The sequence below is a fragment of the Homo sapiens genome, chromosome 8, assembly GCF_000001405.40.
Source record: "Homo sapiens chromosome 8, GRCh38.p14 Primary Assembly".
Lineage (NCBI taxonomy): Eukaryota > Metazoa > Chordata > Mammalia > Primates > Hominidae > Homo > Homo sapiens.
In genome coordinates, this window is record NC_000008.11 from 76,426,539 (window position 1) to 76,450,547 (window position 24,009).

The window sequence follows — 24,009 nt, forward strand, 5'->3', positions numbered from 1 at the left end:
AGGTTTTCAGCATAAAAGCTGTCAGAGAAAGTTCTTGGTGGATTTACAGCTCAAAAATATTATCGCAAATTAAATTTTTGACACCCCTCACCATCCAATCTCCAATACCTAGGCACCACCTCAGTCTTCTTGACATTCGGGATGCCTCTGGACCCAAATAGGGACCAATTCAGAAACAGGCCGTACCCTCCTTTACCCAAGAAACACCTGTAGCCCTAAGTGAATCCACATGTTTCCTGTGATTATGGAATTCAATTCCAGGTTTTCTCTCCTATTTATTTTTCTATAATCCAATTCAATTTTAAAAGGTAAAATGGGACTGGAATAGAGGCCAGTACTCAAATGCACAACTAGCTTGTTATCACTGTATTTAAAGACTTAAAACTTTGCAAATTATCATTAGCTTTTCCTTTTAAAGTTCTAGAGGAAAACAATACAAACCTTGGGGGAAATACATGAAATTTATATTGAGCAAAGTTCTCTACTCCTATGATTTACTTAGCTATTTTATTTAAAAATATTTTAGGACAATTATAATATTTTGAAATTTACATGTTTATTATGTGTAATAGGTTAAAAGTAGTGTTTTCAGTTATTAATCAATTAGTTTTGGTTTTTATTTGGAAAGCCATTTTGCCTAGTTCTATGTTGTACATTTTTGTGTATCACAAATAAAGTCAAACTATCTCTTCCTATATATTATCTGAAGCAATACCATATTGACATGTCATGACAAACATGAGACATCGTGAGGCACTGTTTCTACAAAAAAAAAAAAAAAAGATTTTTAAATTAGCTGGGCATGGTGAGTGCACCTTGTGCTTCCACCTACATGGGTGGCTGAGATGGGAGGATTGCTGGAACCCAGGAGATAGAGGCTGCACAGTGAGCCATGTTCATGCCACTGCACTCCATCCTGGGTGACAGAGTGAGATGCTGTCTCAAAACAAACAAAATAGACCTAACTCAGCCTTTAAGATCTTTACCATATAATAGAGAAATAGGATAAAGTGAATATTTTGAAGTTCAAACAATAGTAGAAATCAGCCGTAATTCACCTATTAGGTTTGCTGTGGAGAAAGTGCAAAAGCTCATAACTAATGACCAGATGATGGGGAAGGAAAAATTCTGGCTCAGGTTGCTTATTTCAGGCATCTGGGAGGAACAATCCCCACCTTAGAGCTCTTCCTGGGATTTAATATGGCCCCTGTGGCAAATGCATTACAATTCACCTTCTCCCTCCACACCCTGCTTCCTAATTCCTCACAGGAATTGTTCCCCAGATCACTTTCCAAAAAACATCCTGCATGCATTTCTCAGTCTGTTTCCCAAGGAATCTGAACTATGACAAAGGTATTCCCATATAAAATAATAAACAAATAATGAAATAAAATATTTAGTTTTTCTGTTTGTTTCTTCACATACATTCCATGAAGTATTTGAAGCAGTTAGGAAATGTTGGATAAACAACTATGTCAACGACATTTATTTTAAGATTTGGAAACTGTTAGACTCAGATCAGAATTCTTTAGTCACTGTCCCCTCCCTACCCCAATCTGTGCATGCACACACATACACACAACCCTCTGTATGTACACACAGCCAGAAGTCAACCCAGTTAAAAAATCTGAAAGACAAAATTAGGTCAAAGATATAATTTTCTTTCTGACTTGGCCTTCAACTTTCATTGCAACTATTAGCATTGAACAGTTGATGATTTAAGAGGAAGTTGAGCTGCAACAAATATTTGAATGTGTGGAAATCATTATCCAAATACATTCCAAATCCATTTCATAAAATGACAAGCTTAAAATTATAGCTGTACATGAACCCAGACTTAACTCAGTGTGTGAGAACGCTATGAATTATTATGTGATACGATTATATTGTTGTTACTAACTTTAATATTGTCGTTCTCTGTTTCACTTCTTAATTACTTTACAACCGAGTTCATTTATGTGGCTAAAGCTTGTGGGTAGGTGGGCAAGATTCTTTTTCTAAAATTAATTGTGACTATCAATTTCAAAAAGTATGATTATTCTTTAAAAATCTGTAGGTCCAAATCCCTGGATTTTTAAGCAACTTAAAAAAAATTTTTTTTTATTTTATTTTAAGTTCCGGGATAGATTTGCAGGATGTACAGGTTTGTTACATAGATAAACATGTGCCATGGTGTTGCTGCACTTAACCCATCCCCTACATATTAAGCTCCACATGCATTAGCTGTTTACCCTGATGCTCTCCCTTCCACAAGAACCCCTCTCCCAACTGGCCCCAGCATGTGCTGTTCCCCTCTCCATGTCCATGTGTTCTCATTATTCAGCTCCCACTTATAAGTGAGAACATGCAGTGTTTGGTTTTCTGTTCCTGTGTTAGTTTGCTGAGGATAACAGTTTCCAGTTCCATCCATGTCCCTGCAAAGGATATGATCTCATTTTTTATGGCTGCATATTATTCCATGGTGTGTACACGTACCACATTTTCTTTATGCAGTCTATCATAGATGCGCATTTAGGTTGATTCCGTGTCTTTCCTATTGTGAATAATCTTGCAATGAACATACTTGTGAATGTACCTTTATAACAGAATGATTTCTATTCCTTTGGGTAAATACCCAGTAATGGGATTGCTGGATCAAATGGTATATCTGGTTCTAGGTCTTTGAGGAATTGCCACATTGTCTTCCACAATGGTTGAACTAATTTACATTCCCACCAAGAGTGTAAAAGCATTCCTATTTCTCCACAGCCTCCTCAGCATCCATTGTTTCTTGACTTTTTAATAATCATCATTCTGACTAGTATGAGATGATATCTCATTGTGGTTTTGATTTGCATTTCTCCAATGATCAGTGATGTTGAGCTCTTTTTCATGTTTGTTGGTCACATGTATGTCTTCTTTGAGAAGGGTCTGTTCATATAATTCGCCCACTTTTTAATGGGGCTGCTTGTTTTTTCTTGTACATTTGTTTAAGTTCCTTGTAGATTCTGGATATTAGACCTTCGTCAGATGGATAGATTGCAAAAATTTTCTCCCATTCTATAGGTTGCCTGTTCACTCTGATGATAGTTTCTTTTGCTGTGCAGAAGATCTTTAGTTTAATTAGATCTCATTTGTCAATTTTGGCTTTTGTTGCAATTGCTTTTGGTGTTTTAGTCATGAAGTCTTTGCCCATGCCTATGTCCTGAATGGTATTGCCTAGATTTTACATTTAAGTATTTTAGGTTTGAGGTTTTACATTTAAGTGTTTAATCCATCTTGAGTTAATTTTTTTATAAGGTGTAAGGAAGGGGTCCAGTTTCAATTTTCTGGATATGGCTAGCCAGTTTTCCCTGCACCATTTATTAAATAGGGAATCCTTTCCCCATTGCTTGCTTTTGCCAGGTTTATCAAAGATCATGTGCTTGTAGATGTGTGGTCTTATTTCTGAGATCTCTATTATGTTCCATTGGTTTATGTGTCTGTTTTTGTACCAGTACCATGCTATTTTGGTTACTCTAGCCTTGTGGTAAAGTTTGAAGTCAGGTAGCATGATGCCTCCAGCTTTGTTCTTTTTGTTTAGAATCATCTTGGCTTTACAAGCTTGTTTTTGGTTCCCTATGAATTTTAACATAGTTTTTTTTTCTAACTCTGTGAAGAATGTCAATGATAGTTTAATGGGAATAGCTTTGAATCTATAAATTATTTTGGGCAGTATGGCCATTTTCACAATATTGATTCTTCCTATCCATGAGCATGAAATGCTTTTCCATTTGTTTGTTATCTCTCTTATTTCCATAAGCAGTGGTTCATAGTTCTCCATGAAGAGGTCCTTCACTTCCAGTTACCTGTATTCCTAGGTATTTTATTCTCTTTGTAGCAATTGTGAATGGAAATTCATTCATGATTTGGCTCTCTGCTTGTCTATTGTCAGTATATAGGAATGCTTGTGATTTTTGCACGTGGATTTTGTATTCTGAGACTTTGCTGAGGTTATCGGCTTAAGAAGTTTTTGGACTAAGATAATGGGGTTTTCTAGATATAGGATCATGTCATCTGCAAACAGAGACAGTTTGACTTCCTCAGTTCCTATTCGAATACACTTTATTTCTTTCTCTTCCCTGATTGTCCTGGCCAGAACTTCCAATAGTATGTTGAATAGGAGTGGTGAAAGAGGGCATCCTTGTCTTGTGACATTCTTCAAGGAGAATTAAGCAAAATTTTTTCTAGCCTCCTCTTTTTACTTTTTCATGAAATTTCATAGGAAATATTCATATAAAAAGTAAGATAATGTATTTAGTTACACTCCAGCTAATAATAAAGGGGAAGCTTTAAGAGATGCTGAGATCACTTTTACTATGGAAATCTAAATCTACTGTTGAAAATTGCTCACCATGCAATCAGTTGGATTGTTGCCAAGTTGGTCCAGTTGAATAATTTAGAGAACTTTAAACAATGTCTCATACTTCAGTGATTTAATAGTAAAAATAAGATCAAATATACTAGACTGTAAATGATTGCTCAAAATTTAGCAATTTTGTTGCTTGGAAGTAAAAAACAAAAACGAGGAAAATAATAACAACAGTAATAATAATAATAAGCGAAACCCTGATCTTAATTGAATTTTACTAGACCAGCACTAAGTGACAAAATATCAACAATATCAAAACATACAACATTACTGATGTTGTATGTATTTGCCCATAAACATTGACTAAGTATCTGCTATCTGCCAGATATTTTAATAGGTAATGACAGACAAAAAATCTAATAGACAATTTCTAGCTTCTGATAAAGGATACCATAGAAATTTACAGTATAACATGTGTCACCACATAGCAATGTTGGTGGGGGTGAGTGCACGGGGTTCACAGATGAGAGACTAACACAGCTTAGGAGAGTTGAAAAGCAGGTTTCAGTAGGATGAGTAAGACTTTGTCAGATGAAGCGAGACGGTAGGAATTTCAGCCTATAACGAAGTGTTCAAAAAGGCAGACTTTTGAAAGTGTGTCAGAGAAATACAGGGCAAGGAAGAAGCATGGATAGATATTTTGGAGTAAACTTATAAAAGGTTTGATGTGCCTTACTAAAAGACTTAGAGTTTATGTTGCAGACAACAAGGTGACTCATAAAAGCTTAAATGAGCTAGGGGTATTTAGTGACTCCTGAGTCTAGGTGAGAAAGTCAAAAGATGAAACCTAGACAAAATTTTATAGGGTCTGCACAGTAAGGAGAAACAAAGAAATTTTAAAGAGGAAGGAAGAAAGAAAGAAGAGAAAGAAGGAAACAGGGACGATCCTAGGACTATACAGTCATTATATAAAATTGTGAAATAGAGAAAGATACTTCTGTATATAATATAAATCCATCAGGTGTATCATGTGTAAAATAAAATATAGATCACATACATTAATAAATGTCTGACATGTACATAGTTCTTTTTTTGGTTGTTTTTTCGTTTCTTTTTTTGCCCCCACTCCACTGGGATATATAGCTCTTTACGGTTTACAATACATGTTTATGTTTATAACCTTATTTAATTATTAGAGTCATCACAAAGAAAGGCAGTATCTCCATGTAGGTCTAAAAGTTAGACAACTCATGTGGAGCAACCTAAAAACTAAAAACACTGGATTCTAATCCTAGCTCTTAGCCCCCAATGCCAGTGTCCTTGCAATTAAAGCAACAATTTATATACAGAGTGAATGTATTCCAGCACATTTGACATGTGCATAAGTTCAGATTTAGTTTATACTTCAAATATCAAGGGACCTGAGCACCAAAACTTAAGTAAAGGAAGGAGCAAAACCAGACATGAGTACTTCAGTAAACAGAGCAAACAATTCAGAGGTCTGCATGTTGTTTGTTAGGATTCACCTTCTTTGTGGGAATAAAATTGATTCTTCTATCTTTTTACTTCTCCCTAATCCCCACTTCTCTACACCATGCTTCTTTAGTCCAAACTGATAAAATTTTCATCCACAAGCACTGCCTCAAAAACAGGACATGCTAAACACACACAAACACACACACACACAAACACACATACACACATGAGAAAGACAGCTAAGAGTCTTATAGGTTAACTTGACCACCATTTCTTTGATATAATTTAAAAAATGAAGTCCAGGGAACCTAATGGCTTGACAAATGTGGCACCTTAATTGGTGAGAGAGCTGAGTCTGAACCCCAGGCTCACTAACCTTCCATCCATAGAGGTTTCCACAGCCTCCAGCCAAGAATCATAGGACATATTCTGCCAAGAAGAAAACCAAAAGAAGGAGAGACTCCCAGCAATGCCCATGTGGGACTCGAAAGGGGGAGGAAGCCGGCCTACTGCAATGTTTCCCAGATTTTTAGATTTCATGGAGCAACAACATTTCAAATAAATATATAAGTTCCATCATTGGGCTGCCAATATTTTAATTTCACCAAGAAAAGACATTTTAAAACAAAGGCAAAAGAAATATAAATAACTTTCACCACAATTTCACCCAAAAACAGACACTGCCATATCAAAGGTTAGGACACTCTTACTATGGAATGAAGTCTGCTCTATGAAAAATTCATCTTATTGCAGCCTTTTTTACTATTTAGCTGAGGATTAATGCATGCTTTATCCTGCACCAGCACTGGGCTGATGGCCAAGATTTAGAAACTACTGTAATATGGGAATAAGCCCTAAACTAAGTATTAGAGGACCAGGCTTTAGTCACTCACTATCACTCAAAGACTGTGCGACATGGGCCCAACTCTGAATCTCACACTAGCTAACTTAGACTTCCAACCAGCTCTAGAATTCTAGCATTCTAGGAAGAGTTAAATATCTAAATCAGACCAACACTACAGATGCCGCCTGAGAACCCAGGGATTTCAGAAAGCCTGTTTCCCAGGTCTTGTCCTTTCAAGCCTCAGGGGAAAATTTGGGCAAGTGGGAAATAATAGCTGCTCAACCTGGCATGACACACTTCACATAAGTCCAGTAGTAGCTTTAAAATCACAGTACAGGAGATAAAAAGTCAGGCTGATCAGAACTGTTGATATTTAAATTCTCAATTGCCCTGTGCCTTTTTTTCCTATGGTAACTATGATTTCTGACATCATATTGCTCCTATCTTTGTAGGAAAAAATGGCAACAGAAGAAGGAAAGAGGAGAGAATGGGGAGCAGACACTAAGGTGTAGTGAAAGGAGGAAAATGAAGGCTAAGTCTAATGATGTGAATCCTCTTTGCAAGTAAGCCATGTCAGACACTGCTCTTTACAAAGAGTCTTCAATTTCAGAGTCTCTGCTGGTACATTCAACCCCTTGTGTGTCCATAACTAAAAAATATAAGTAGGGGGATGGAATAGAACTTTGCAATGCATCAACAGAGGAATCCTATTTCATCCTTCTTGTCCAGGGACCTGCAGAGGGAAGACTGAAAACCTGCACATTCAGTTAAATCTTAATGAGGTATTTAAAAGTTATTTTGGATCAAATACAGAGTGAAAGTGCAGAGATGAAACCACACGAAACCTAGAAACAACAAGGTGGAAGCAGATTTAACTAAGAATTTCCTTCCCTCAGTCTCTTTTAGTCACATCCATAATATAATTACAGCTTAGCATTTGCATTTAATTATATAGTGTTGAGAAACACTCTGAATTTTATAGCAAAGCTGAACCAAAAAGCTTTATTGCCAATTGGTTTTGTAGTTCCAATGCGGGGAAGGAATTGCAGAACAGGCAAATACAAATTTTGGCTAAATAGAACAGAATGAAGATGTTTATGGTCATGCCAAGCATAGACATATTTGCACAAATATGGTACAAATAAACAAATGTTACAAATTTGCTTAGGCAAATAGAAAACTCTCAGTAAGTGTTAGGTGTTATCATCATCATATTTGCAAAAAATGATTCAAGAATTTGTTGGTTTTTTTTTAACTTCCATGCCAATAAAATAAAATCTACAGAAGAGTTAGTGTAAGGCCTTCAAGCTACCTTTTTAAGGAAAACCCACAGCGTTCAGCTGAGCCATATACACCTTCTTTGGTGTTATTCCACTTCCTTTTTTTCCATCCTAAACTCCAGAGGTGTTAAAAAGAGGGTAAGTTCTTTCCTTGGGGTGGATTTTGTGGTACCAACCACAGGAATTTCGCATGACTTTAGTGCCTAAGTAATTGCTATCATGAAAATTCCTGATTTTTCAAAAATAAATGATGCATAAAAGGCACATAAAAGTTCAGTTAATAAGTCCCAATGCGTTCAAGAACATATGATAGCTCAGCCAATGGAACTAGTTTTTTATTCAGTGGAGACCTCTTCAATGCATTGCCTCAGTGCACAGTAAATCTATTCTTTTAGCAGGTTTATTCCTTTATCTGGTAGTCAATTAAATGGCCTTTCATGAAATGTAGCAATGACATACATTTGTGGAGGGAGGTATATTCTTATAACTTGTCTGATTATCTTCATGCTTTAGCATGTATTATTTATGAGTGTTATTTCTTGAGCAGGTTTATGCCTTCATCAAGTAATCATGAACACATTTTAAGTATAAATATGAGTCCATAGCAACTGGAAACCACCATGGTTTTAACCAGGTTCATTCTTGCACAAATATCTCATTCAATTTTGAAGAAATTGTATTTTGAGAATAAAATTTATTTTGTCATTTTCCCTCCTCACTTTCCAAATTGTAATACCTCTACTACAAAGAAAAGCAATCATCACTGTTGCATGCATTCAACTAAATATTTCTAGCTGTAGAAATGCCATCAGCTTATTTCAGACATCTAAGATGAACTGAAAGAAAGCTTTTAAAATGCAACAGCATCTATGATAATTCTTCAACCTAAGAGGAACTTTGCAGAATAAATATCAGAAAAATGTATTGACACACTTTTGTGGGTGGTAGAATGTAATCAGGTTTTTAATGTTTGGCTGTTAGATTTTTGTTGTTGCTTGTTTTTGTTAAAATTTTCATCTGACCAATGAATCACTTTTTCTGTTGTAAAAATGGTTAAAAATGGAAAGTTATTCTATTTTCAAAGATGGAATCTTTAGCTAAATTTTTAAAAATTTATTTTATGCATGAAACAATTGAAATGTTAGATGAATCAAGAATTACAATCTTGTCTCTAATCTTATTATTAAACCAGCATTTTGGGCAATCATCCGGTGTTTAATTGAATATTTTTTGAATCATTATTATTTTGGAAATAATTAAAATAACAACATGGTTGGCTGGTATTATTTCCTATACTACTATAATCTTTAAAGGTATGAATTAGCTGGTCTTGAAATAAGGAATATTATGATCCAGTAATGGTATGACATTCTTTTTTATGACTATAGCTCGGGTTATAATGTGACAAGGAAAAAAATGTAATGTTTCCAAAATGACAGTTTCTTAGATTTGTGTTGCCTGAGGTAGTTCAGCTGAACAATAAACTATAATTTGATTGACGGAAAATTGAAGTGGTCCATCTAATCTGCCAGTCTAGCCTACCTCGGCTTGGTTTTGCATGTATGATGATGTATCACACTTTTAGAGATAATGTTGTTTGTATTATACAGGAGATTTCTTCTGCCACATAAAAAAGAAGGACTTTATTGCACACAAGTGATCAAAATATTATGCCATAGATTAACATGGAATCAAATTTGTTGGAGTATAAGTTTGTAAGTTCAAATGTAGAAGACTAAATGATATAAATAAAGCCTCAGAATACAGTTACTGGTTGGAGAAAAATTAGCCATGTACTGATGGTAGAATTATTAAGTCTGGGGAAAGGTGACATCTGCATCTAGAAAAGCAATCAGATTATAGCTATTCAACTTTTTTTTAAATAAATTGCTGCCTTAATCAAGAGAAATCTTATATACATCAATTATATTAAGACTCCTAAGTTCTAGAGTAAAAAATGTATTTTTTGTATTATAATTTAAGTTCTGGTTTACATGTACAGAATGTGCAGTTTTGTTACATAGGTATACACATGCCATGGTGGTTTGCTGCACACATCAACCCGTCATCTACATTAGGTATTTCTCCTGATGTTATCTTTCTCCTAGTCCCCCACCCCCCACAGACCCTGCTGTGTGATGTTCCACTCTCTGTCTCCATGTGTTCTTATTGTTCATCTCCCACTTATGAGTGAGAACATGTGGTGTTTGGTTTTCTGATCTTGTGATAGTTTGCTGAGAATGATGGTTTCCAGCTTCATCCATGTCCTTGCAAAGGACATGAACTCATCCTTTTTTATGGTTGCATAGTATTTCATGGTATATATGTGCCACATTTTCTTAATCCAGTCTATCATTGATGGACATTTGGGTTGGTTCCAAGTCTTTGTTATTGTGAAGTGCCGCAATAAACGTACCTGTGCATGTGTCTTTATAGTAGAATGACTTATAATCTTTTGAGTATATGCCCAGTAATGGGATTACTAGGTCAAATGGTATTTCTAGTTCTAGATCCTTGAAGAATCGCCACACTGTCTTCCACAATGGTTGAACTAATCTATACTCCCACCAACAGTGTAAAAGCATTCCTAATTTTCCACAACCCCTCCAGCATCTGTTGTTGCCTGACTTTTTAATGATCAACATTCTAACTGGCATGAGACAGTATCTCATTGCGGTTTTGATTTGCATTTCTCTAATGACAAGTGATGATGAGCATTTTTTCAAATGTCTGTTGGCTGCATAAATGTCTTCTTTTGAGAAGTGTCTGTTCATATCCTTTGCCCACTTTTTGATGGGGTGTTTGCTTTTTTCTTGTAAATTTGTTTAAGTTCTTTGTAGATTCTGGATAGTAGCCCTTTGTCAGATGGACAGATTACAAAATTTTTCTCTCATTCTGTAGGTTGCTGTTCACTCGGATAATAGTTTCTTTTGCTGTGCAGAAGCCCTTTAGCTTAATTAGACCCCATTTGTCATTTTTGGCTTTTGTTGCCATTGCTTTTGGTGTTTTAGACATGAAGTCTTTGCTCATGCCTATGTCCTGAATGGTATTGCCCAGGCTTTCTTCTAGGATTTTTATAGTCCTAGACCTTACGTTTAAGTCTTTGATCCATCTTGAGTTGATTTTTGTATAAGGTATAAGAAAAGGGTCCAGTTTAAGTTTTCTGCATATGGCTAGCCAGTTTTCCCAACACTATTTATTAAATAGGGAATTTTTTCCCCATTGCTTGTGTGTGTCATGTTTGTCAAAGATCAGATGGTAGTAGATGTGTAGTCTTATTTCTCAGGCCTCCGTTCTCTTCCATTGGTCTATATATCTGTTTTGGTACCAGTACCATGCTGTTTTGATCACTGTAGCCTTGTAGAATAGTTTGAAGTCAGGTAGCATGATGCCTCCAGCTTTGTTCTTCTTACCCAGGATTGTCTTGGCTATATGGGCTTTTTGGTTCCATATGAAGTTTAAAGTCGTTTTTTCCAATTCTGTGAAGAAAGTCAGTGGTAGCCTGATGGTGATAGCATTGAATCTATAAATTACTTTGGGAATTATGGCCATTTTCACGATATTGATTCTTCCTATCCATGAGCATGGAATGTTTCTCCATTTGTTTGTGTCCTCTCTTATTTCCTTGAGCAGTGGTTTGTAGTTTTCCTTGAAGAGGCCCTTCACATCGCTTGTAAGTTTTATTTCTAGGTATTTTATTCTCTTAGTAGCAATTGTGAATGGGAGCTCATTCATGATTTGGCTCTCTGTTTGTCTGTTATTGGTATATAGGAATGCTTGTCATTTTTGCACGTTGATTTTGTATCCTGAGACTTTGCTGAAGTTGCTTATCAGCCTAAGGAGATTTGGGGCTGCAATGATAGGGTTTTCTAAATATACAATAATGTAATCTGCAAACAGAGACAATTTGACTTTCTCTCTTCCTGTTTGAATACCCTTTATTGCTTTCTTTTGCCTGATTGTCCTTGCCAGAACTTCCAATACTATGTTGAATAGGAGTAGTGAGAAAGGGCATCCTTGTCTTGTGCCTGTTTTCAAAGGGAATGCTTCCAGTTTTTGCCCATTCAGTATGATATTGGCTGTGAGTTTGTCATAAATAGCTCTTATTATGTTGAGATATGTTCCTTTGATATCTAGTTTATTTAGAGTTTTTACAATGAAAGGCTGTTGAATTTTGTTGAAGGCCTTTTCTGCATCTGTTGAGATAATCATGTGGTTTTTGTCGTTGGTTCTCTTTATGTGATGTATTACGTTTATTGATTTGTGTATGTTGAACCAGCCTTGCATCCCAGGGATGAAGCCAACTTGATTGTGGTGGATAACCTTTTTGATGTGCTGCTGGATTCGGTTTGCCAGTATTTTACTGAGGATTTTTGCACTGATGTTCATCAGGGATATTGGCCTAAAATCATCTTTTTTTGTTGTGTCTCTGCCAGGCTTTGGTATCAGGATGATGCTGGCCTCATAAAATGAGTTAGGGAGGATTCCTTCTTTTTTTATTGATCGGAATAGTTTCAGAGGGAATAATACCAGCTTCTCTTTGTACCTCTGGTAGAATTAGGCTGTGAATCTTTCTGGTCCTGCACTTTTTTTGGTTGTTAGGCTATTAATTATTGCCTCAGTTTCAAAACCTGTTATTGGCCTATTCAGAAATTCAACTTCTTCCTGGTTTAGTCTTAGGAGGATGTATGTGTCCAGGAATTTATCCATTTCCTCTAGATTTTCTAGTTTATTTGCATAGAGATGTTTATAGTATTCTCTGATGGTAGTTTGTATTTCTGTGGGATCAGTGGTGATAGCTGCTTTATCTTTTTTTATTGTGTCTATTTGTTTCTTCTCTCTTTTCTTCTTTATTAGTCTCGCTAGGGGTTTATTTTGTTGATCTTTTCAAAAACCAGCTGCTGCCTTCATTGATTTTTTGAAGGGCTTTTGTGTCTCTATCTCCTTCAGTTCTGCTCTGATCTTAGTTATTTCTTATTTTCTGCTAGCTTTTGAATTTGTTTGCTCTTGCTTCTCTAGTTCTTTTAATTGTGATGTTAAGGTGTCAATTTTAGATCTCCCCTGCTTTCTCTTGTGGGCATTTAGTGCTATAAATTTTCCTCTACACACTGCTTTAAATGTGTCCCAAAGATTCCGGTACGTTGTGTCTTTGTTCATTGGTTTCAAAGAACTTCTTTATTTCTGCCTTCATTTCGTTATTTACCCAGTAGTCATTCAGGAGCAGGTTGTTCAGTTTCCATGTAGTTGTGTGGTTTCGAGTGAGATTCTTAATCTTGAGTTCTAACTTGATTGCACAGTGGTCTGAGAGACAGTTTGTTATGATTTCTGTTCTTTTACATTTGCTGAGTAGTGTTTTACTTCCAATTATGTGGTCAATTTTAGAATAAGTGTGATGTGGTGCTGAGAAGAATGTATATTCTGTTGATTTGGGGTGGAGAGTTCTGTAGATGTCTATTAAGTCTGCTTGTTGCAGAACTGAGTTCAGGTCCTGGATATCCTTGTTAACCTTCTGTCTTGTTGATCTGTCTAATATTGACAGTGAGGTGTTAAATTCTCCCATTATTATTGTGTGGGAGTCTAAGTCTCTTTGTAGGTCTCTAAGGACTTGCTTTATGAATCTGGGTGCTCCTGTATTGGGTGCATATATATTTAGGATAGTTAGTTCTTCTTGAATTGATCCCTTTACCATTATGTAATGGCCTTCTTTGTCTCTTTTGATCTTTGTTGGTTTAAATTCTGTTTTATTAGAGACTAGGACTGCAACCCTCGTTTTTCTTTTTTTTTTTTTTTGGCTTTTCATTTGCTTGGTAGATCTTTCTCCATCCCTTTATTTTGAGCCTATGTGTGTCTTTGCACATGAGATGGGTCTCCTGAATACAGCACACTGATGGGTCTTGACTCTTTATCCAATTTGCCAGTCTGTATCTTTTAATTGGGGCATTTAGCCCATTTACATTTAAGGTTAATATTGTTATGTGTAAATTTGATCCTGTCATTATGATGTTAGCTGGTTATTTTGCCTGTTAATTGATGCAGTTTCTTCATAGCATTGATGGTCTTTACCATTTGGCATGTTTTTCCAGTGGCTGGTACCAGTTGTTCCTTTCTATGTTTAGTGCTTACTTCAGGAGCTCTTGTAAGGCAGGCCTGATGGTGATGAAATATCTCAGCATTTCTCTGTCTCTAAAGGATTTTATTTCTCCTTCACTTATAAAGATTTGTTTAGCTGCATATGAAATTCTGGGTTGAAAATTCTTTTCTTTAAGAATGTTGAATATTGGCCCACACTCTCTTCTGACATGTAGGGTTTCTGCAGAGAAATTCACTGTTAGTCTGAGGGGCTTCCCTTTGTGGATAACCCGACCTTTCTCTCTGGCTGCCCTTAACATTTTTTCCTTCATTTCAACCTTGGTGAATCTGACACTTATGTGTCTTGGGGTTGCTCTTCTTGAGTAGTGTCTTTGTGGTGTTCTCTGTATTAATGCCTTGCTAAGTTGGGAAAATTCTCCTGGATAATATCCTGAAGAGTGTTTTCTAACTTGGTTCCATTTTCCCCATCACTTTCAGGTACAATAATCAAATGTAGATTTGGTCTTTTCACACAGTCCCATATTTCTTGGAGGCTTTGTTCGTTTCTTTTCACTCTTTTTTTCTCTAACCTTGTCTTCTCGCTTTATTTCATTAATTTTATCTTCAGTCATTGGTATCCTGTCTTCCACTTGATAGAATCAGCCACTGAAGCTTGTCTATGCTTCATGAAGTTCTTGCACTGTGGTTTTCAACTCCATCAGGTCATTTAAACTCTTCTCTACACTGGTTATTCAAGTTATCCATTTGTCTAATCTTTTTTCAAGGTTTTTAGCTTCCATGCGATGGGTTAGAACATGCTGCTTCAGCTCAGAGAAGTTTGTTATTACCAACCTGCTGAAGCCTACTTCTGTCAACTCATCAAACTCATTCTCCATCCAGTTTTGTTCCCATGCTGGTGAGGAGTTGTGTTCCTTTGGAGAAGAAGACGTGTTCTGGTTCTTGGAATTTTCAGCCTTTCTGCTCTGGTTTCTCCCTATCTTTGTGGTTTTATCTACCTTTGGTCTTTGCTGTTGGTGACCTACAGATGGGGTTTTGTTGTGGATGTCCATTTCGTTGATGTTGATGCTATTCCTTTCTGTTTATTAGTTTTCCTTCTAACAGACAGGCCTCTCAGCTGCAAGTCTGTTGGCATTTGCTGGCGGTCCTCTCCAGACCCTGTTTGCCTGAGTATCACCATCGGAGGCTACAGAACAGCAAATGTTGCTGCCTGATCCTTCCTCTGGGAGCTTTGTCCCAGAGGGGCACCCGCCTGTATGAGGTGACTGTCAGCCCCTACTGGGAGGTGTCTCCCAGTCAGGCTACAATGGGGATCAGGGACCCACTTGAGGACGCAGTCTGTCCATTATCAAAGCTCGAATATCATGCTGGGAGAACCACTACTCTCTTCACAGCTATCAGGCAAGGATGTTTAAGTCTGGAGAAGCTGTCTGCTGCCTTTTATTCAGATATGCCCTGCCCCCAGAGGTGGAATCTAGAGAGGCAGTAGGCCTTGCTGAGCTGCTGTGGGCTCTGCCCAGTTCAAGCTTCCCTGCCGCTTTGTTTACACTGTGAGCACAGAACTGCCTACTCAAGCCTCAGCAATGTTGGACGCCCCTGCCCCTGTCAAGCTCCAACATCCCAGGTCAATCTCAGACTGCTGCACTAGCAGCGAGCAAGGCTCCATGGGCGTGGGACCCACCGGGCCAGGTACAGGAGGGGATCTCCTGGTCTGCCAGTTGTGAAAACCACGGGAAAAGTGCAGTATTTGGGCAGGAGTGTACCGTTCCTCCAGGTACAGTCACTCATGGCTCCCCTTGGCTAGGAAAGGGAAATTCTCCAACTCCTTGCACTTCCCAGGTGAGATGACACCCTGCCCTGCTTTGGCTTGCCCTCCGTGGGCTGCACCCACTGTCCAACCAGTCCCAAGGAGATGAACCATGTATCTCAATTGGAAATGCAGAAATCACCCATCTTCTGCATCGATATAGCTGGGAGCTGTAGACTGGAGCTCTTCCTATTCAGCCATCTTAGAAGCACCTCCTAAAAAACGTATTTGAAAAATAATAAAAGGGCAATAAACATCACTAAACACTTAACTACATGCAAATTCAAATAACAAATTGGTAAGCAAAGAACATGAGGCTATGTAAAATTAACTGCTGAATATTGATGATTGTTCATATTTAACCATGGTAAATTGAAATTAACATTCCTTGGTTAATTTCTGAGCATAATTTTGAACAAGATAGTTTTAATTCACTTCTACTACTAAGAGACAGTCAAAACAACTTTGTGAATTTTGTATACAATTTAAATAACAATATAAGAAAGTGTATCCAATTATTTGTCTTTAAATTGCTATAAAAAATTGAATTTATAGAGAGGTTTTATAGTTACTTAAAATTTAATATTCCAGATAGTAATATATCTTTAATCAGACAAGTGATATATTTTAAAATAAAAATTACAGTATTGGAAATTTTGTATGACAATTTCTTCTCTATTCAAGAATGAGCAATGGTTATTAGAAAGGAAACTACCAAAAAATTTGGGGATTCAATATCATTTCTGGACTATACAATTTATCCAAAATAACCATGGAAACATTTTTTCACTTATCAATTAAAAAACATTTTAAATATTTATTAACATTTAAAAAGGCACCATCACCAGTTTATTGTGAAATGAATGCTCATTTAACATGGGTGGAAGTGCAGGCTATTATGACCTTTCTGGAAAGCAATTTGAAAACGTAAACATAATTACTTGAGTACTTGCAATGTTTCAGGAATTGTGCTGTCCATGTATTTGCTCAAGTATAAACTTTATATCAAGAGCCATAAAAACTTTATATCAAGAGCCATAAAAACTTTATATCAAAAGCCATAAAAATATTCATAACCTCTGACTCATTAATTCCAATTTTTTTATTATTATATTTTAAGTTTTAGGGTACATGTGCACAATGTGCAGGTTAGTTACATACGTACACATGTGCCATGTTGGTGTGCTGCACCCATCAACTCGTCATTTAACGTTAGGTATGTCTCCTAATGCTATCCCTCCCCCCTCCCCCCACCCCACAACAGTCCCTGGTGTGTGATGTTCCCCTTCCTGTGTCCATGTGTTCTCATTGTTCAATTCCCACCTCTGAGTGAGAACATGGAATTCCCTTTCCTAGTCAAAGAAAGGGCACCTGGAAAATTCCAATCTTTAAAACAGATCTTAAGAAAATTAATGTAACATGAGAGAGATATATATGTATATTGATTGCAACACTACAAACAGGAAAAATTGAGGATAACTATCGTTTTCAATAATTATTTAATTATGATATATTCTTTTGATCACATGATTATTCAGTCAATGAAAATTATTTTATGTAAAATATTTTATAACATGCAAATTGTTTATAGTATGTTAGGTTAGAAAAAACAAGAAACAAAATTGTACTCATTACTTATATTAATAGCAAAGTATGCAAAGTTAGCATAGCAAAATATTCTAGGGAAACAGTTGGTGGAAACATAGTTTTACTCTTCTTTTACTTTTCTATATTCCCAAATATTTTTCGATCAGCATGCATTACTTTCATAATTGAATACTTCCATAATTGGAAAAAGTCACGAGCCCTATTACTTTGATTTTATCCATACTTGCTTACCTTGGCATACAAGGTACCTTAGAAGTGAGGGAAAAAGCATGAACTACAAGGTCAAATAAGCCTGACTTGCAATGCCAGCTCCACTGCTTTCTAGCTATCTGGCCCTGAACAGGTTATATAAACTCTCTGGGATTCAGTTTCCTCATATATAAAATAAATTCATCAATAATCCCATATAAAAGATTCAAAGATTAGAGACTGATCAACATTAACTTTAAAGAGGAAGAAGGTCCTAGGAAGGAATTCAACAAGAACATAATGTTTAATGAGTCCTGGAGGAAGAAATGGCTGTATATATCTGACTTTTGCAGGATGAGTTGGCTGTGTATATATATATATATATATATATATATATATATATATATATATGTGTGTGTGTATGTATATACTGTATATATATATACAATTGGCTATGTACATATACATATATGTATTTATGTATATATACATATACATATATGTATTTATGTATATATACATATATACGTATATATATCTCCAAGCAGAAGGTACAGAATGAAAAGGGATAAGGGGAAAGAGACAGAATGATGTAGTCTGGAACTTGCTCCTAGCCTCTTAGTATTGCAGAGCAGTAGCTGTAAAAGAGGTACTCACTTGGCTGAATGTAAGTCTTGATGTTATAATATTAATGAGATATTCTAATTTAGAGATGTCCTTAAATTTGTGGATTTTCCCCAAGTTTAGGGATCACTGCCTTTAGACATCAATTTTCAATTATTTTAGTTCCTAAATTAATTTACTTGTCTTATTCTGGAAAACTGTTTAGTTTTCCCTCTCATGGAATTAATAAAACATAATTGAATTATGGAAGTTGAGAGACAAGAGACACCACATTATCACCAAGACTACCATCACCTTCAATGCGCAAGAGAAAGGAGACTCATATTTAGAATTTGCCACAATGTTTGATGTCTCCATAACCATATGCAACATGAAGGATTGTTTGTTTGCTCCTATAACTACCCAACTAATACATCTCTCCTCAGAATTTAAACTAATAACCTAAGTAATATTCCATTTTAGAAAATTTGGCATTTATTGTTTTTCATCAGTTTTTGCTTCTGCCATCAGAAAATCATTCTGGAATTCATGAGAGCTTGCTGATCTCCTTTCCTAGTTATTTACTTGTGTATAGACTTATGTTTTGCATGAGATTTTGCTCAATTTGTTATGGTTACTTATAATCTTTTATATTTATTTATACTTTATTTGCATTATTCCAAAAATTCATCCTAAAAGCTTCATTTATTTTTTTTAGTATTCTTTTTAAATATATTTATTTATTTATTTATTATACTTTAAGTTCTAGGGTACATGTGCACAACGCGCAGGTTTTTAACATATGTATACATGTGTCATGTTGGTGTGCTGCACCCACTAAATTGTCATTTACATAAGGTATATCTCCTAATGCTATCCCTCCCCCTTCCCCCCACCCCACGACAGGCCCTGGTGTGTGATGTTCCCCATCCTGTGTCCAAGTGTTCTCACTGTTCAGTTCCCACCTATGAGTAAGAACATGCGGTGTTTGGTTTTCTGTCCTTGCAATAGTTTGCTCAGAATGATGGTTTCAGCTTCATCTCTGTCCCTACAAAGGACCTGAACTCATCCTTTTTTATGGCTGCATTTATTTTATATCTATTACTTAGATTTGGAAATTGAGGTCCCTATTAAGCAGGGCTCACTTGATTTAGCAGTAAAATTTAAAAATAATATTTTTATGGTATAAGAATAATATACCATGCATACAGTTAAAACAACATTGAAATATTTACACACATTGAGATCCATATATTTTAGTCATATGATGACTGCTGTTTCTATGGTAGACCTCTGTAGTTTAAGTCAAGGGTCTGTAAATTATAGCTTGCCAAATCAACCCACTGCATCCTTTTGTAAATAAAGTTTTATTGGGACATAGTCATACCATTTTTTTTTTTTTTTTGCTTTATCTATGCCTGCTTTCTTGTTACCATCTCAGAGTTGAGTAGTTGCAACAGAAACAAAGTGGCCCACAAAGCCAAAAATATTTATGGTTTTCCCCTTTCAGAAAAAATGTGTCAACTTATAGCCTAAGTAGTCAATACTGTTTTACTACAAGTTAATTGGTATGAAAGTTATTTTTGGAGGCATTAATTTCAACTTCAGTAATATATTTCATTATCAAAATACTAAATGTATTTGCCTGTTCTCGCATTGCTATAAATACCTGAGTCTGGGTAATTTATAAAGAAAAGAGGTTGAATTCACTCAAGTTTCTGCAGGCTGTACAGGAAGCATGATGCTGGCATCTGCTTGTCTTCTGCGGAGGCCTCAGGAAACTTACAACTATGGCAGAGAGCAAAGAGGGAGTAGATGCTTCACATGGCCTAAGCAGGAGCAAGAGAGAGCAAGAAGGGAGATGCTACACACTTTTAATCAAACAGATCTCATAAGAACTCATTCATTCTCATGAGGACAGTACCAAAGAGGACGGTGCTAAACCATTCATGAGAAATCCATCCCCATGATCCACTCACCTCCCACTGTGTCTGTAATTGGTGGTTCTTGCTCTCACTGACTTCAAGAATGAAGCCGCGGACCCTCGCGGTGAGTGTTACACAGTTCTTGAAGCTTTGTGTCCGGAGTGTGTTCCTTCTGATGTTCAGATGTGTTCGGAGTTTCTTCCTTCTGGTGGGTTCGTGGTCTCGCTGGCTCAGGAGTGAAGCTGCAGACCTTCGCGGTGAGTGTTACAGCTCTTAAGGCAGCGCGTCTGGAGTTGTTCGTTCCTCCCGGTGGGCTCTTGGTCTCGCTGGCTACAGGAGTGAAGCTGCAGACCTTGGCGGTGAGTGTTACAGCTCATAAAGGCAGCGTGGACACAAAGAGTAAGCAGTAGCAAGATTTATTGCAAAGAGCGAAAGAACAAAGCTGCCACAGTATGGAAGGGGACCCAAGCGGGTTGCCACTGCTGGCTCGGGCAGCCTGCTTTTATTCTCTTATCTGGCCCTACCCACGTCCTGCTGATTGGTAGAGCCCAGTGGTCTGTTTTGACAGAGTGCTGATTGGTGCGTTTACAATCCCTGAGCTAGACACAAAGGTTCTCCACATCCCCACCAGATTAGTTAGATACAGAGTATGGACACAAAGGTTCTCCAAGGCCCCACCAGAGTAGCTAGATACAGAGTGTTGATTGGTGCATTCACAAACCCTGAGCTAGACACAGGGTGCTGATTGGTGTGTTTACAAACCTTGAGCTAGATACAGAGTGCGGATTGGTGTACTTACAATCCCTGAGCTAGACATAAAGGTTCTCCACGTCCCCACCAGATTCAGGAGCCCAGCTGGCTTCACCCAGTGGATCCCGCACGGGGACTGCAGGTGGAGCTGCCTGCCAGTCCAGCGCCGTGCACCGCACTCCTCAGCCCTTGGTGGTCGATGGGACTGGGCACCGTGGAGCAGGGGGCAGTGCTCGTCGGGGAGGCTGGGGCCTCACAGGAGCCCATGGAGCGGGTGGGAGGCTCAGGCATGGCGGGCTGCAGGTCCCGAACCCTGCCCCGCGGGAAGGCAGCTAAGGCCCGGTGAGAAATCGAGCGCAGCGCCAGTGGGCTGGCACTGCTGGGGGACCCAGTACACCCTCCGCAGCCGCTGGCCCGGGTGCTAAGTCCCTCATTGCCCGGGGCCGGCAGGGCCGGCGGGCCGCTCCGAGTGCGGGGCCCGCCAAGCCCACGCCCACCCAGAACTCCGGCTGACCCGCAAGCGCCGCACGCAGCCCCGGTACCCGCTCGCGCCTCTCCCTCCACACCTCCCTGCAAGCTGAGGGAGCCGGCTGTGGCCTTGGCCAGCCCAGAAAGGGGCTCCCACAGTGCAGCGGTGGGCTGAAGGGCTCCTCAAGTGCCACCAAAGTGGGAGCCCAGGCAGAGGCGGCGCAGAGATCCAGCGAGGGCTGTGAGGACTGCCAGCACGCTGTCACCTTTCACCACCAGGCCCCACCTCCAACATTGGGGATTAAAATTTGATGTAAGATTTGGTGAGAATACAGATCCAAACCATATCACTAAGTAATCATGAAAACTATTACCTCTTATAGAGTCAGAGTCATTGCAATCAGGAATTGAAAGTACCCTATGTACTCAATTAAAAAGAAATGTTTGGGCAAACCAATAGTTAAAACATTTCTATAGCAGAACACCACTTACGAAAAACCCAGCTCATCTAAAAACCTAATGTTATATATATATATATATATGTGTGTGTGTGTGTATGTATAAACACGTATATACATATATAATATAAAACATACCTGTTTAGAGAGAGGCTAAGACAGAGAGAGATAAAGAGACAGGGAGAGCTCTTATGAAAATATGGGGCAGAAGGTCCATGACTCTACCTCCCCACCTTCCCCCCCCCATCCCCTGGGACAAGTTTTGATGTACAGCAGTGAAACTCAGGGCTCTTGAGACTATAACATGTCACTCACTATTACAGAGTTTCCATACAAGAGTTTACCATCAATTTAGTCTTAGCAATACTTGGCATGCTTCAACCAGACACAGTTTATTTAAACTGATTGTCATTCTGTACAATGCCTCTACCTTAACTTCCTTTACTGTCACTCTGTCCCTACCTATATACCTCCAGTCTGCCAAAATAATCATTTAGTAATAACATGTTTTCAATCTCCCTTTTTCAATAACTTCTAACTACTTCCACCAGAATTCACCCAAAACCATGTGCCCAAACCTTCATGTTTCTGCTATGCCTCTTTGCTACTACAGAAATAAACAGCATAAAAATCTGTTACTTACAACTATGAAAATTAGTAACCAATAATTTATTGACCAAAGCATTAAACACTAAAGTTTCAAAAAATTTTAAATTTTTTGCAGATTGTTATCTGTGACAAATTCTTAGACATAGTTAACAAATCTGCATTCTTTTATCATATAGTTGTATTTTTAAAATAAAAAGCTTATTGATAATTTTCCAGAAAACTATGTGCTGGCGTAATGGTTTTAAAATTGTTTCTCATAATTTCCTTCAGTGACTACACCCTGAGGACACCAAACTGGATGTTGTGAATAGATAAAGCCATGGTGGAGGAGTAGGCAGAGTTGTAAGGCATATCTCTCTGGAATATTAATTTTATTTATAGACTTTTTAAAAGAAAAACAACAAAAAGCACCCATTTGCATGTAGAACAATGTTAGGGAGTAGAATTAGAAATTCACATTAATTTATAGGAAAACACAAGATGGATAAGCCTTATTGACTGTGCCTTCAGACTTCTCACTTGCCCACCAATTCTTCTCCAACCCCACTAAGAATTCATAGTTTGCCTTTGTATGCACTTTAATGGAAAAGTTTGCAAAGAACACCTATATTAAAAACATTTTGGCCTGGCGCGGTGGGCTCACACCTGTAATACCAACACTTTGGGAGGCCGAGGTGGGCGGATCACCTAAGGTCAGTAGTTCAAGACCAGCCTGGCCAACATGGTGAAACCCTGTCTCTAATAAAAATACAAATATTAGCTGGGCATGGTGGCAGGCGCCTGTAATCCCAGCTACTCGGGAGGGTGAGACAGGGAGAATCGCTTGAACCCGGGAGGCAGAGGTTGCTGTGAGCTGAGATCGCGCCATTGCACTCCAGCCTGGCAATAGAGTGAGACTCTGTCTCAAAAAAAAAAAAAAAATTTGTACATACTGGCATAATATATTCTGCATTTCTGGCTATGTGGGGTGATCCTGGTCAAGTCACTTAGCTTTTTCACCTCTTCGGCAACCTTGCTTTTTAAAGAAGAAAATATAATAGTATGATTTTCACAAAATAATTAAGACACTAAGCTGTCATGGAAAACTACTGTCTGGGCAGCCCACCTGTCCCTCACAAGGAAATAACAATTGGAAAGATTTAAAGAAAGCATTTTTGGAGCCCAATAACCTGAGAATTTTGAAACAGACCAAATTAAAGGAAAAACAGGTTGTAAATAACATCCAGCCAATTCCTCCATCAGGTTTCCATTGTGTGCTCCTACCTTCTATCAGAAGCCACTGCAAACTATATACATTTGTGAACATTTAAATTCTAAAAAGTATATGCTTGCTCACCGGTATCACATAAAAATAATTTATGTATACATTTGCATACTTAAAAATGCATGTAACTAACATCTACCTGTCGTATGAGGATATTAGTGGATGGTGTCAGTTTGCTTTTGGCACAGATATGTAGACAAAGAGTCACACCCGTGGTTTTAATCTTTTAAGTACGGGGACTAACTGAACATCTGGAAGTTTTACAGCGCAGGGATTGAAAGTCGCTGAGTTAAAGAAGAAGGCCTCCTATT

At 37.7% G+C, this 24,009-nt stretch overlaps 1 long non-coding RNA gene across 1 annotated transcript in view; it reads left to right on the top strand.

Annotated features, from left to right (window-relative positions):
- LINC01111 (long intergenic non-protein coding RNA 1111) overlaps positions 1-24,009 on the top strand; it is a 117,703-nt gene that overhangs the window by 19,885 nt on the left and 73,809 nt on the right. Inside the window, exon 2 of the long non-coding RNA NR_105006.1 lies at positions 7,103-7,213. This is a non-coding gene — a long non-coding RNA (long intergenic non-protein coding RNA 1111). The remainder of the gene's footprint in view (positions 1-7,102; positions 7,214-24,009) is intronic.